Source organism: Homo sapiens, chromosome 21, assembly GCF_000001405.40.
Source record: "Homo sapiens chromosome 21, GRCh38.p14 Primary Assembly".
Lineage (NCBI taxonomy): Eukaryota > Metazoa > Chordata > Mammalia > Primates > Hominidae > Homo > Homo sapiens.
The window spans coordinates 41,837,403-41,852,379 of NC_000021.9; the positions used below are offsets into that span (position 1 = coordinate 41,837,403).

Genomic DNA, 14,977 nt, shown 5'->3' on the forward strand with positions numbered 1-14,977 from the left:
CACATGGATGAGCCGGGGTAGAATAAGCCAGTCACATAAGGACAAATCCTGTCTGATTCCACTTATAAGACATCTCTAGAGTCATCAAATCCACAGAGACAGAAAGTAGAATGGTGGGTGCCAGGGGCTGGGGGAGGGGGCTGGAGCGGGTGCTTAGTGCGGACAGCGTTTCAGCTTGGGAAGACGGGAAAGTTCCACAGATGGATGGGGGAGATGATTGCCCAACAGTGTGAACATCCTGAATGCCACTAAATTGTGCACTTAAACATGGTTAAAATGGTTAAATTTATGCATATTTAACCAAAATAAAGCATTTTTCTAAAGCTGTTTTCACAGTGGATGCACCATTAAACTCCTGAGCTCCAGAACATTCCTGAGCTCCAGAACATTCCTGCTGCCTCCTCAGCAGGTCTGTTTCCATCTCCTTCCCTGGGGCTTTCCTGCTGGGAAGGTGCCTTCCCTCCAGAATGGCCTGGCTGCTGCCAGCATTGTCTGTCCACAGGACGGCCCCAGGTGCCAGGCAGGACTTACTTTGGAACCGAGCTGGTGTCAGTGGTGGTGGTGGCCAGCTTCCCCAGAACCAGCTCCATGATCCGCTCATCTGGCGTTGCACTCACAGGCTCATCCGGAGGGACCTCGGTAATGATCTCTGCCACTTGCTCTGTACGAAGGGGATGTGACAAGCTAAGTAACCACAAGAGCAGGGGACAAACACAGTCAAACCATGGTGACACACTGCCCCATGGGAACCACAGCCAGGCCAGAATGGTAGGCACAAATGTTGAGGTTTACAGAGGGGAAAAAAAAAACTGTCAATATTTTGGGATCCACACATTTACTAGTACAAACAGAAAAGCAAAATGTTTTTCTTAGCCTAAACTGAAGTTATAATTTGTTATTCTTTTTAAAAACCACAACATCATAACATTACTTCAATCCCTCTTCATACCAACCAAAAACATTTTGGATATATAGCAGAAACTTCGAACTTACTACATCAATTCTGACAGAGTTTTAGAAATGTTAATGTTTCTAATTAAATGTGCCAACATTAGTAAAACCATTTTAGCTAACCATTTTGTATAAGAGTTAAAGATCACATCATCGCCAATACTGGAGACCCTGGCCAGAAACCCAAGATAAATGAAATAGGGGAAGATTACACAAAAAAATTCAACCACTGGTTTCTACCACTTTGCCTACTAAATGTCTTCTCAACACAAGTAAGAATTAGTGAAATATCTACCTGACACGCTTTCCCCCGCCCCCATCTTCTCTGCCTATTCACAGAGACCTGGGGAAACTGGCCAGGGGGCTTTCAGGCGCTCCTAAATCAGCGCCCAACAGTGCACAGCCTAGAAGCTGCAGACCCACAGCAGAAAAGGGGAGGCTCAGAATATTCCACAATGGCTGCTCTTCCCAATTGTCTCTAATTAATAGAAGCAATAAGGACTCCTTTTCACTCTCATAAAAGAAATCCTGGTGTATCCCAGACAGTAAAAAGAAAAACTGCCCAGTGTCAGTAACAAATGTGAAGGGGCCAGTGGCTGAGCATCAGATCTCATCCTCACTGTGAGGCCCACGAGGCGTGTGCTGCAGGTGGCTTGGATGGGGGCTGTGTGAGGACCACAGGGACAAGAGCCTTACAGAGACCACACACCCTGGAAGAGGGTCAAATGCCTCTTCAAACCCAACTGAGGATACTGCACAATCAAAGGATGAGCCCTAGACAGGTCCTGGGAGCAACTCAGTGCCCACCCACAGGTGATGGACCAAGCACTGTTCAGCAATCCAGGAGAAGGAGCCACAGATAAACCACGTGGGCGGGTCTCGAGGCTGTAAGCTGCCTGAAGGAGGCAGACAGAGTCCATTCGTGAGAAATTCCAGGATGGGTGGAATGAACTCGTACAGAAGACAGTCAGGAAAGTGGCTAACGAGACAGAAATGTCCTCTACCCTGACGGGGGTGCTGGTTTCACAGCTGTATCCATTTGTCAAAATTCACACCCTGTATCCTTTTTAGTGTGACATGTATTACATGGAAATTGTACTTTACTAGAGTTGATTGAGAGAAAAACAGACGGGCTTAGAGTCTACCTTCCACGAGGCCTTTCTACACTGAGTTTTCCCGCCCCGCCCTCTGCCCCCTGCCCCGCCAGCCCTCGGGCGCCAGGAGGGCTGCGCCCCACGCAGGCACTCATCCCCGGGACCCGCTCATCACCTGTGGGTTCCTTGTCTTCCACGATGACTAGAGGCTGCTCAGCTTTGGACACTTTGGGTTTTCTCCCCCTTCGAGGCTTTTTCTTCTGTTCTTTGGTGGCAACATTCTCGCTCTCGGGCACTGCAGGGGGTTCCCCCCGGGGTGTGTCCTGCTCCTTCTCGGGAGCTGCTGCCTCGCTTTGGCTGCCTGGAGGAAGGCTTTTGGCTTGTTCTAAGTGGCCCAACAGATGTTCTGCAAAGAGAGACGCGAATGCACCACACAATTAGGAAGCCTGCCACCGTCCACACCCACCCTGGCCTCTGGTTCCTATGTGTGTGTGTTTTCAATCTTGTTTGCCAACCTTTGTATAGGCAAGTGAACTTTATTTCTACTGTTTTATTTCCTCTGCATCAAACACAACTGCTATTTTGAAAAGTAAATTAAGTGGTAAAAGCAAGGGTAGGTTCACCATGAGGGCAGTTTAGTGAAAAAAGCAGACATACACACACACATATGTCTGCAAAGCAAAAACCTGAGAAGGAGATATCAAAATATGAATGTGTCCAGGCACAGTGGCTCATGCCTGTAATCCCAGCACTTTGGGAGGCTGAGGCAGGTGGATCACATGAGGTCAGGAGTTCAAGACCAGCCTGGCAAACATGGTGAAAACCCATCTCTAATAAAAATACAAAAAGTTAGCCGGGTGTGGTGGTGTGTGCCTGTAGTCCCAGCCACTGGGGAGGCTGAGGCAGAAGAACTGCTTGAACCCGGGAGGCGGAGCTTGCAGTGAACTGAGATAGCACCACTGCACTCCAACCAGGTGACAGAGCAAGACTGTCTCAAAAAAAAAAAAAAAAAAAAGAATTGCACCCTAGACCTGTGAAAGCTCTGGGAGACGTAGCAGAAGCAAAATCAAAACACTATGTAACAATCCAGAGTGCATGGAAGGACCACTGTAGGGGCAGGGGAGAAAAGAAGATTCCTTGCTAAAGAGCTTACCAAAACAACAACAACAAAAGCAAGAAAAGTCCCAAGAAAACTAAAAAATTAAGCAATAAGCCATCAGGGCGTCAGCAGACACATACACACAAACTCAAGAAGAATGGAATTCCTAGATAATAACACAAGCTGAGAGGAGAAAACTGGGGGAAAATACATTTAAATGAATAAAGAAGGGTTAAAAAACACATATTAAAAAAAAGCAAGGGCATGCTGAATTATAACAAGCGGTTATGAAAAATAACCAAATAAAACTTATATAAAATAAAAAGGAGGCCCAAAATAAAAACACAATGTGTCGTATTAAACAAAAAATTAGACACAACTGAAGAGAGAACTCATAAAGTAAAATGAAGAGCTGCAAAGATTACCCAGAATGTAGAAAAGAGACAAGGAGCTAGAAAAATATGAGCAGGAGCTAAGAAGACATGAAGTGTAATATAACAAGAAGGTCTAAAACATGTACAATAGGACACAGAGAAAATAGGGAAGGAGGGCTAAACAATGAGCAAGATAAGGGTGGGGGATTATCCAGAATGAATGAAAGACATGACTCTTCAGATTCAAGATCTGTAACAGGGAAAACAAATAAAAATAAAGACATAAATGATGACTCTGTTATAAATTGCAGAATTCCAAAGACAGAGGAGGTTTCAAAAGCAACCAAGTACAAAGCAGTGATTACCTATGAAGGAACAACTGCAGTGACAGCAGACTTACCAAGAATAATAATGGAAGGCATAAAGTAGCATAACAACATCCCCAATGTGCAGAAAGAGAATAAGAATAAACCCAAAATTCAATATCCGGTGAAAACCGTTTCCAGTGCAGATGGTTAAAGAAAGATATTTTGAGACAAAGACTGAAAAGATTGCCCCAGAGGAAATTCTGAAAGGCAATAAGAGTGATTTTAGATTGAGGGTCAGAAATATAAAACAAAGGGAACTAAAGTTAAAAAAAAAAGAAAAGCCATACATAAGGAAATTAGCAAACATCATTCTAGACAATTACAAATTCAAACAGGAAAAACAGAGCAAATTAGAAAATACTTAGAACTAAAATATGGGAGGAAGAGAGCCCACACATCAAAGAGATGTATATATACTCTACTTGTTAGATGCGGCATTGTAAATATACTTATTAAATCAATTGTGTTAACTGTGTGCTTCAAATCTGTATCCCTGTGATTTTTTAGTCTGATTTATAAATTAAGATGTATGTATTAAAAGCTCCCACTACAGAGGCAGATTTTTCTATTTCTCCTCGTAGATCTGCCAATTTTTGCTTATTATTAGACTATGTTATTAAGTGCATATAAACTCAGATGCACTGTATCATCAAAATGTGGAATGCAGCTAACATGGTTCTTAAGAAAAAATCATCTGAAATGCTTACATGAGAAAATAAAACAGCTGGAAAGTAATGAGTTAAGCATCCAACTTGTTAGAAAGGCACAGAATGAAAAGTATAAAAAGCAAATAATAAATAAGAGCAGAAATAAAGTAAATATACAATAAAAAGGATCAACAAAGCCAAAAGTGGGTGCTTTGAAAAGACTAATGATATTGATAAGTCTGGCAAGAAAAAATAGAGAATGCAGAAATAACCAGTCCTAGCTGCAAAAGAGAAAACAGCAGCTCTCTGTAACCACTCGTCCCCACCTATTATCACCTTTCCATTTTTTAGTATTAGATAGCATCTATTATTTAACATGGAGGAGAAGGATTTAGCTTTCTTATAGACTATACTCTCCCTCCCAAATGCTTATCTTCTCCACAATCTCACCAACATATTTATATCACTATTTTGGGGTAAATCAATAATCAGTGTATTCATAATTATGACCATAAAAATGTATTCACAACTGCACCAATATATGTTTATGATTCTTTTTTTGTTTGTTTGTTTTTGAGACGGAGTCTCGCTCTGTTGCCAGGCTGGAGTGCAGTGTGCGATCTCGGCTCACTATAACCTCCGCCTCCCAGGTTCAAGCGATTCTCCTGCCCCAGCCTCCTGAGTAGCTGGGACTACAAGCGTGCACCACCGTGCCCAGCTAATTTTTGTATTTTTAGTAGAGACAGGGTTTCACCATGTTGGCCAGGATGGTCTTGATCTCTTGACCTCGTGATCTGCCTGCCTCGGCCTCCCAAAGTGTTGGGATTACAGCCATGAGCCACTACGCCTGGCCTTTTTTTTTTTTTTGAGACGGAGTCTCACTCTGTCGCCCAGGATGGAGTGCAGTGGTGCAATCTCGGCTCACTACAACCCTTGCTTCCCAGGTTCAAGACATTCTCCTGTCTCAGCCTCCCAGGTATCTGGGACTACAGGCATGCACCACCACACCTGGCTAATTTTTGTATTTTTAGTAGAGATGCGGTTTCACCATAATGGCCAGGCTGGTCTCAAACTCCTGACCTCAGGTGATCCACCTGCCTCAGCCTCCCAAAGTGCTGCCATTACAGGTGTGAGCCACCGTGTCTGGCCTGATTTTTTTGTTTTTTTGTTTGTTTTTTTGTTTGTTTGTTTGTTTTAAGTATATCTATAACCTTTGTTTTCTCTGGAGTTAATTAATGCCTTACTTTTTATTAATAACATTTGCTTATTTTTTTCCCGTGTTTATATTACTAATTGAGACTTAAACTCTGCCAGAAGTATAACTCTTTCCTCTACAAACACATCAGTTAATGCTCGATTTCTTTTCCTTTTTGGGCCATTCTTCCTGGAGCCCTTGCTGCTGCTCCAATCTGGACCAGTTATCTATCCTTGAACTAGGGAACGTCTCTTGTCCTACAATCTCCTTCGACAGCAACCTGGGCATTCCCTTTGCTCCTTTCCCTCAAAGGATCCTCTATTGTATCCTACACGCAGAGGACATGTGCCATCTTTTCTGGCCATCCAGCACTGTGAAACATCCTTGTGATGTTTCGCCAACTTCTGAGCCCCACCTTTCCCAAAACACTCCTTTCCCAAACTCTCCTGCCCTGAATGCAGGTTTGTGCCATAGCTCTGTGAGCAATGTGAGGCTGCAGGGGGCCTGAGAACACATTTTCTGGCATGGTGAAGGCATTGGGCTTTCAGAGACAGCACAAGTTTGGCCCTGAGGCCACCGTCAGTATGGGTGGCAATGTCCCTGCCATGTGGGCCTGTCTGGGACAGCCTTGTTATGGAATCCTGAGCAACAGAGCAAGACCCTGTCTGTACAATTAGACCTGTTGACATTCACCTGTAGTTCCAGCTACTTGGGAGGTCAAAATGAGAGGATCATTTGAGCCCATGAGTTTGAGGCTGCAATGAGCTAAGATCACACCATCGCATTCCTGCCTGGGTGACAGGGCAAGACCTTGTATTGTAAAAAAAAAAAAAAAAAAAAAGAAAGAAAGAAAGTTTAAATTCAGAGCACTGGTGGTTTGGTTTGGAAGTTACCCAACTTGAAAGAAGAAGCAAAAATCTGTCAAATTTGATTCTAAAACTACAAAACCTCTTCAATAGCCCTTCCAACACTTCCTACACCAACTCACAAAAGGCAGCTTCACATCCCTTGAGATCAGAGAGGAAATGAGACAAATGGACACCGTTTGCCTCATTAGAACAGCAGCACTGAAAGAGCCAAGTGAAGTCCCTTCTCTGAAGGCTTGTGCAGAACCCGTCTGTCATGTGGCTCTGGGACAGCGCTCAGTGCCAGTCCGCTGAGGATATCCAAAGTGGCATGTGGCACCTCCGCCCTCAAGAGAACACACAACCCCTCAGCCCAAAAAAGAGAAACACAGTCCCTCCTATCTCAGGGAGGTGACACAGCCCCTCCCCCCTCACAGGGACACACACACACACACACACACACACACACACACACACACACACAGAGCCCCTCCCCCCTCACAGGGACACACACACAGTCCCTCCCCCCTCACAGGGACACACACAGCCCCTCCCCCCTCACAGGGACACACACACACACACACACACACACACACAGCCCCTCCCCCCTCACAGGGACACATACAGCCCCTCCCCCTCACAGGGACACACAGCCCCTCCCCCCTCACAGAGACACACATACACAGTCCCTCCCCCCTCACAGGGACACACACAGCCCCTCCTCCATCACAGGGACACACACACACACACACACACACACACACACAGAGTCCCTTCCCCCTCACAGGGACACACACAGTCCCTCCCCCCTCACAGGGACACACACAGTCCCTCCCCCCTCACAGGGACACACACAGCCCCTCCCCCCTCACAGGGACACACAGCCCCTCCCCCTCACAAGGACACACACAGCCCCTCCCCCTCACAGGGACACACACAGCCTCTCCCCCCACACAGGGACACACAGCCCCTCCCCCCTCACAGGGACACACACAGCCCCTCCCCCCTCACAGGGACACACAGCCCCTCCCCCCTCACAGGGACACACACAGCCCCTCCCCCCTCGCAGGGACACACAGCCCCTCCCCCTCACAGGGACACACAGCCCCTCCCCCCTCACAGGGACACACACACACAGCCCCTCCCCCCTCACAGGGACACACACACACAGCCCCTCCCCCCCTCACAGGGACACACACAGCCCCTCCCCCCTCACAGGGACACACAGCCCCTCCCCCCTCACAGGGACACACAGCCCCTCCCCCCTCACAGGGACACACACAGCCCCTCCCCCCTCGCAGGGACACACAGCCCCTCCCCCTCACAGGGACACACAGCCCCTCCCCCTCACAGGGACACACAGCCCCTCCCCGTTCACAGGCCGGCCTTTGGGGCTGCTCCTCAGTCTCCTTCCTGGGCTCTGCTTTCCACTTCTAGGCTCCTGAGCCATGGATGTTCCCAAGAAGCCCCCCAGCGAGAGGCTGCCGCAGAAGGCAGAGCCGTCACCTGGAAGGAATGCTCAGGACCCCTCCGGTAATCTGGGTGGCAGAGGCCGGGCTGCCCGAGTACCTGGCTCCAGCCCTCAAGGCTGCCGTGCTGTGGGCAGGGACTCCTGCCTCTGTTTACTCATCCCTGAAATGGAGCCACGGTTGTACCTCATGGTGTTGACTCAAGGAAGTTTCTGGAGGACCTGGCACTGAAGGGTCTTAGTCACCATCAGCCTAATTGTAAGGGGAGCCCGAGTACCACGTCTTACGTAGTTGATGACATACAAGTAGAATTTCACTGAAAATATGAAGGAATTTCTTTTTTCTTCACTCAAAACTAGTTATTAAGAAGAAACACAAATGAGCAGCAACGTCTGTCTGGCTTTGTGGAGGGGACCACCTGGCGCAAGCAGCACCCTCCCACTGTGAAGCACCTACCATGGGTCTCCATGAGGTCCGGGGCGTGCTCTGCACAAACGCGGCGTTTCTAGAAAACCCAGCTGCCCTGCTCTGCTATTTATGTCTTGGTGACAAACACAAAATACTTCTCACCAAGCAGAGGGCGAAATGACACATTCGTAAATTCATTAAAGCCAAGATGAGTAGGATGTCTCAGGAACGTGTGACCAGGTAGCTAAAGTCTGCTGGTGTCAGCACAGTGGCTGTCCCAGTCACTCCTCACAACTGCACTGCCTGGAACCCCACCAGGCCTGGGGCCTCTGAGCACGTTCCACATGTGACGAATGCCACAAACTGTTTCTACGTGATTCCCCCATGGTTTATTTGATGCGAGTCTTTCTTCACTACAGATTAGCCTCCTAAGACTTGTGGAAAAATCAGCTCCCTAAGAGAAATAAACAGAAAGTTCCCAGAGCACTGCAGAAGCTGGAAATGTGTTCAATTCTCTCCCGGCCACCTTAAATTGGAATCTCAACCTGAGTAGATAAAAATGTTCTGCAGGCTGGGCACGGTGGCTCACGCCTGTAAACCCAGTACTTTGGGAGGCCGAGGCAGACGGACCGCTTGAGCCCAGCAGTCTGAGCCAGCCTGGGTGAAACCCTGTCTCTACAATAAATATACAGAAGTTTGCTGGGCGTGGTGGCACATGTCTGTGGTCCCAGCTACTCAGGAGGCTGAGGTGGGAGGATCGCTTGAGCCTGTCAGGTCAAGGCTGCAGTGAGCCACGATCATGCCACTGCACTCCAGCCTGGACAACAGAGCCAGACCTTGTCTCAAAAAAAGAAAACAGTGTCTGTCAGATAAAGAAACAATGGAAGGGGCTGTCAAGTAGAGACAACAAAGGCAAGAGTGCACAACACATGCCACGGCTGGCTCCTGGCCCCTGGCCCCTGCCAGTGCTCCAGAGTCAAGGCGCCCAGCTGAAATGCAACTTCCCAACCAGGAGGAGTGAGGAGTGAGGCCTGCAGGGGTCGGGGGTGGGAAGCGGGACTGCCCAGAAGCTTTAAACCCTGAGAAAGCCTTGGTTCTGGCGACTACATTGTGGGGCAATGGGGCAGACAGGACAAAGTCTGGGACATCCCGACAGCCGCAGACAGGTGACAGCGTAAGTCAGAGAGAAATCGACACAGGAGTTTTACAACTGGGGCTCCCCACACGTCCTCCTTACCATTGAGGAGCTGCAGCTCCAGGAAGGTGGCAGAACACACTTTACACGCCCACTGGCTGGGCTCCGACTCCACGGGGGCGCTGTTTTCTGGGGTGCCTGCAGCTTCAAAAGACATGAGAGGAGAAAAAGGTGACCCCCAAGCAGCTCATATGTCTCCATGAATCCCGGCGCAGCGGAGGAGGGGTGTGTGCTGAGAGGCGGTGATGACAGTGATGACGGCAGCAGACGGGCCTGTGGTCACTCCACATGACAGACACCATTTTCAGAGCTTTACACACATGGCTGATACGGTCGTGTGACTGTCCCCTTTTCACAGATGAGGCAACTGAGCACAGAGACACGCCTGCTGCAGGGTCACCAGTCACAGAGCTGAGAACTCCTCCAAGAAGCCAGTCCAGAGGGACCAGGCTCATCCCTTATATGACTTCATGAGAAAAGTGCATTCCTCAAGAACCAAGTGTAATTCCTCATCTCTCACTGGCTCATAGAATAAGAGACAGTGGAACCCCAAACGGCCAGCCAGTGGCGCCCCCGTGTGTGGCTGGGCTGCTGCTCCCGCCCAGCGCTATCCGGCAGAGCTTTCTGTGGATGACTGACGTGCTCCACAGCTGGTATCCAGCAAGGCAGCCACTAACCAGATGTGGCTCATGTTCCAGGAAATAAGTGTTTAATTTTACTAAGTTTGAACTTAATTTTAAATAGGCACCTGAGGTAGGGGGCCGCTATCCCAGGAAGCACCTCTATCCCTCAGTCCATGCCACACAGGAATCTGGGGAGGGAGAGCTAAGCTGGGGGTACATGGCATGCGGTGTAAGCCTGGCTATAAAGAGAACTACAGGCACCTTTTAACAAAAAAGTCACTGATGCTCTTGTGCAACCTACAATTGGGAGGCGTTTTAAGTGAGTGTACCATGATCTGGCCCAGGCCAGTTTCTCTACACCTCGTCTGGCAGCTCTGGGGGCTGGCCCAGGGCAGGACCCCTGCCCATCACTTCGACTCTAATCACGATACAGCCTGCATTGAAGTTCATCACCCACGGCAAACTCCAGGGGCCACTCACAAAGACAAACTCCTGGGTCTTTAAAAAAATAATCCAGAAGTACAACTGCATATGCATTCAGCACTAGAAAAAAACATGTATCTTTTCATATCCAAAACCAGCACTAAGGATGCAATGAATGAAGGAAAAAGATATAGGTTACTGCTATCACCCTGTGCATGCATGTTCTGAGTTTTCATAAGATAACAAGAAGAAAGAGGCATAAATGCAATATGAAATTTTTTGTCATACTAAAAATAAAGAAAGAGCAGAAAACGGTGTGGGGGGCACCCTGCCAGCAGGGCATTTTTCTGGGACACCCCATCCCCACCAGCTTCTGTTCCCTTTTACGCTTGCTCTCTGAGAATCCGCTGCTTGAAGAATCCCAAAAGATCAAGGACAAATGGAAATCAGAGCCAAATTCCCATTTCCCACTCACCTTCCCAAACATACACGGGTTCCAAAGAGAGAAAAACACTCGCATGTGAGTTTCAGAAAAAGAGGACAAGGGCCCAGGTTAGCTGGAAGCCACCACTTCTGAATAAGGGGAATTTCTTCGAATCCACGTGGGCCATTGTCTCCAGCAATAAGCCTCCACACCCCCACAAGTGTGGGTTCTCCTCAACTTGGCGCTCTGCTGCTAGGTAAAGAGGACTAGAAAAACTTGTCATGACGACTGCCCGCTCATCAAGAGAAGCACTCAGGGTTTTCCGAATAGTAATTGTAAAAGATAAGAATTCTTAAGAAGAAAATATTAGTTAACAGTCAGAAGGCAATTCTTGACTGCCAATCACTTAAATATCCAACAAAAGAGAAGTGTCCCAGCAAAATCTAACATCATACAGCTTTAAAGTGATGCCAGAGATAGTAACAGTAGGAAAAAGGCCTAAGATGTGGTGAGCCAGACTGTGCACACAAAGAAAAGTAAGCAGTAAGATGGGAGGTGCAGCTAGAGCTCCGCTATGCAAAAATGCAGAGTTTAAAACAAACAAACAAAAAAGGAACAGCAAAGCTACAGCACAGCAAACAGCCTGGCATTCCAGTGGGCGCGGCTGACTGCAGGGCCGCACGAGAGAACTTCCTGGGATGAAGTCGAGGTCTGTAACTCAGCTGTGGTGGTGCTTATACAACTGTAGACACTCAAAAGTCTCTAAACTGGCGGGAACACTGGCTCATGCCTGTAATCCCAGCGCTTTGGGAGGCCCAGATGGGTGGATTACCTGAGGCCAGGAGCTCAAGACCAGCCTGGGCAACATAGCAAAACGCCGTCTCTACTAAAAAATGCACAAATTAGCCAGGCGTGGTGGCATGCGCCTGTAATTACAGCTCTTGAGAGGCTGAGGCATGAGAATTGCTCGAACTCGGGAGGTGGAGGTTGCAGTGAGCCAAGATCACACCACTGCACTCCAGCCTGGGCGACAGACTGACTTAAAAAAAAAAAAAAGTCTCTGAACTGTACACTTAAAATTGTTGAGTCTTACTGAATGTAAACTATATGTCATCAGTGCTGGTTTTTAAAATACAGGGGCCAGTGAGGTGGCTCATGCCTGTAATCCCAGCACTTTGGGAGGTTGAGGCAGGTGAATCACTTCAAGTCAGGAGTTCAACACCAGCCTGGCCAACATGGCAAAACCCCATCTCTACTAAAAATAAAAAAATTAGCTGGGCATGATGGTACATGCCTGTAATCCCAGCTACTGGGGAGGCTGAGGCAAGAGAATTGCTTGAACCGGGAGGTAGAGGTTGCAGTGAGCTGAGATTGGGCCACCACATTCCAGCCTGGGTGACACAGCAAGACTCTGTCTCAAAAAAATAAAATGAAATTAAAATAAAAAATACTAGAAAATGCGAATCAAATGGCAACAGCAGTTGAGTTAGAACAGTGATGCTATATGTGACTGAACAGTTTCCCCAATGTTATAAAATGTGTTTGTATTTTACTCTTTTCACCAGAAAGGTGATTTTGAAAATTTTCTCGTTGGAACCCATGTGTGTTTGAGAAGGTGAGTGAGAAATGGGACTCTGGCTCTGATTTCCATTCGTCCACGATCTTGTGGGATTCTTCAAGCAGCGGATTCTCAGAGCGAGACTAAAAGGGAACAGAAGCTGGTGGGGACGGGATGTCCCATAACAACGCCCTGCTGGCATGGTGCCCCCCCACACTTTCCTCCTGGTGCCCCCCCAACACTCTCCTCCTGGGCCTCATGCTCTCTCCCATGAAGATCCAGGATGTTTCTTCGGCTGCCCCCTCCATCTGTCAGCAGGTTCAGGTTCTTGTAAAGAAACAAAATCAATCTTAATGTGAGCTCAAGAACAAGTTAAGGCCAGGCACAGTGCTTCACGCCTGGAATCCCAGCACTTCGGAAGGTGGGAGGATTGCCCGAATCCATGAGTTCAAGACCAGCCTAGGCAACACAGTGAGACCCATCTCTACTAAAAATAAAAATTAAAAAAATTAGCTGGGTGTGGTGGCACATCCCTGTGGTCCCAGCTACTAGGGAGGCTGAGGTGGGAGGATCACTTGAGCCCACGAGGGCGGCTGCAGTGAGCCACGATCATGCCACTGCACTCCAGCCTGGGCAACAGTGCCAGACCCTATCTCAAAAAACTACAAAAAAAGAAAAAGATGGAACTAGAAAAGTAAAATCCACTACCAGAAAAAAATAATAAGTTACTTTTAAAGGGATGTGTTACTGCTCCTTCAGTACAAAACCAAAGTTTTCTCTGTATTTAGAAGACGGCGCCACTGATCTGCAAAACTGACTGATTTCTACACGAAGATGCATGTTTGGAGCAAATCAAAGAGACAGAATTAAGTCACTGAGTCTTAGGATCTCTCACGCTCACCAGGAAAGACTCGGCCACCACAATAAGTAATTTACAGGAAGACGGTTCCTGGGTTCGTCGGCTGCCAATACGGTTCTAGGAGCACACCAATGGCCCCGGAGGCCACTCACATCACTCTGCCTACTCCCACTGGGCCAGAGGTACAACAATGCACAAAAGGCCTCCTTTTCTCCCACCATGCAGCAGCGTTCTCTCTGGGAGTGTCCACCCCAGAGGGCACGTCACTGAGCAGGAGTGGGATTACGCAGTTACCCTAGAACTCCAGTCCTTCACGTATCCAGTCTGAACAGTGAGAACTGGGCAAGCGGCCAGCTTTCTGGATGTTTCTAGCCTCTCTTCGAAGGTCTTGTTATCTATCGAGATACTCATTTCTGAGACGCAGGCAGCGTTGGGCTCCAGTGCATAGCTTCAGCTGGGTGAGGTGCTCGACACACACTCAGACTCTGGTGGGCCCTGGGTGCATTGGGCGGGCAGGGCTCTAGAAGCGCCACTGTGCCTCGAGAGGGACCCCTGGCAGGGTCAGGGAGGAGGGGCTCAGGGGAAGGAGCCAGATAGGTGGCAGAGGGTGAGAGGCAGTGTGTGTGTGGCGGGGGCGCTGACGCGGCTGCAGAGGGTGACAGGCAGCGTGTGTGTGAGGAGCAGGTGTTGACGCGGCTGCTGGCTTGCCATTTGAACAATCAGCAGGTGGACCCCAGGGAAAGTTCCCCAGGGCAGCCGGCAGCACTTCAAGGGCCAAGCCAGAGCTCAACAGGGGGCTCTCTCGGGAAGGAAAGGGAAGGAAGGACCCAACCAGCCAGTGAGTGGAATCGCCATGTTCACTACCTCTCCAGAAATAACTGCTTGCCATTTGTCCCCAAACACAAGTGACCATCCTAAAAAGCATTTCTGAAATCTAAGAGTAACTAAGTTGTTTATTTATTTCCCCAATTAAAAACCTTGTTTAGGTTTAAGCTATGCTCAGGTGACCATACGTTCCCATTTACACAGACTGTCCTGGTAGAATTATTACAAGTGTCCTTTTATTCTGAGAGGTTTTAGGGAGGAATGGGAATTACCCTAGGATCTCCGAAATCAGAGGCGACTCTGTTCGACACCACAGTCCCAGGCTGACTTCATTTAAATCTATTGTTTCAAACTCAGCTCCAGATTGAAGGGTCTCCAGCAGGTAAAATGAATACGAAACACCTGTAGCTCCAATAAGGCGTGGCAACCTTTGCTTTGACCTTAGCCTTGAGGGTGGTGAGGGCATCCCCCAGGATACAAGCTGACAAGGGGGTAAACGGCCAAGGCCGGCATCTCAGAACCCAAACCCCGGCGTGGCTGCAGTCTGGGCTGGCCGTGGGCACACGTGCTGCCAGCTGCCTAGGCCTTCAGGAATTCCAGACACAAGGAGCCCAGGTCCC

General features: G+C 48.4%; 1 protein-coding gene across 25 annotated transcripts in view; it reads right to left on the reverse strand.

The window, feature by feature from the left end:
- The window catches only part of PRDM15 (PR/SET domain 15), an 81,120-nt gene that overhangs the window by 39,178 nt on the left and 26,965 nt on the right, over positions 1-14,977 (reverse strand). For 21 of the 25 annotated variants that reach the window (NR_135464.2, NR_104258.2, NR_104257.2 and 18 more), the window contains 3 exons: positions 9,688-9,789; positions 2,221-2,451; positions 532-661 (listed from right to left, as the gene is read on the reverse strand). Coding sequence is in view for 20 of the 25 variants with exons in the window: in XM_047440939.1 (XP_047296895.1) it covers positions 532-661; positions 2,221-2,451; positions 9,688-9,789 (463 nt within the window). In the remaining 5 variants the exon portion in view is untranslated. The remainder of the gene's footprint in view (positions 1-531; positions 662-2,220; positions 2,452-9,687; positions 9,790-14,977) is intronic. The other 4 variants (XM_047440940.1, XM_047440938.1, XM_047440935.1 and 1 more) reach the window with 1 other exon arrangement.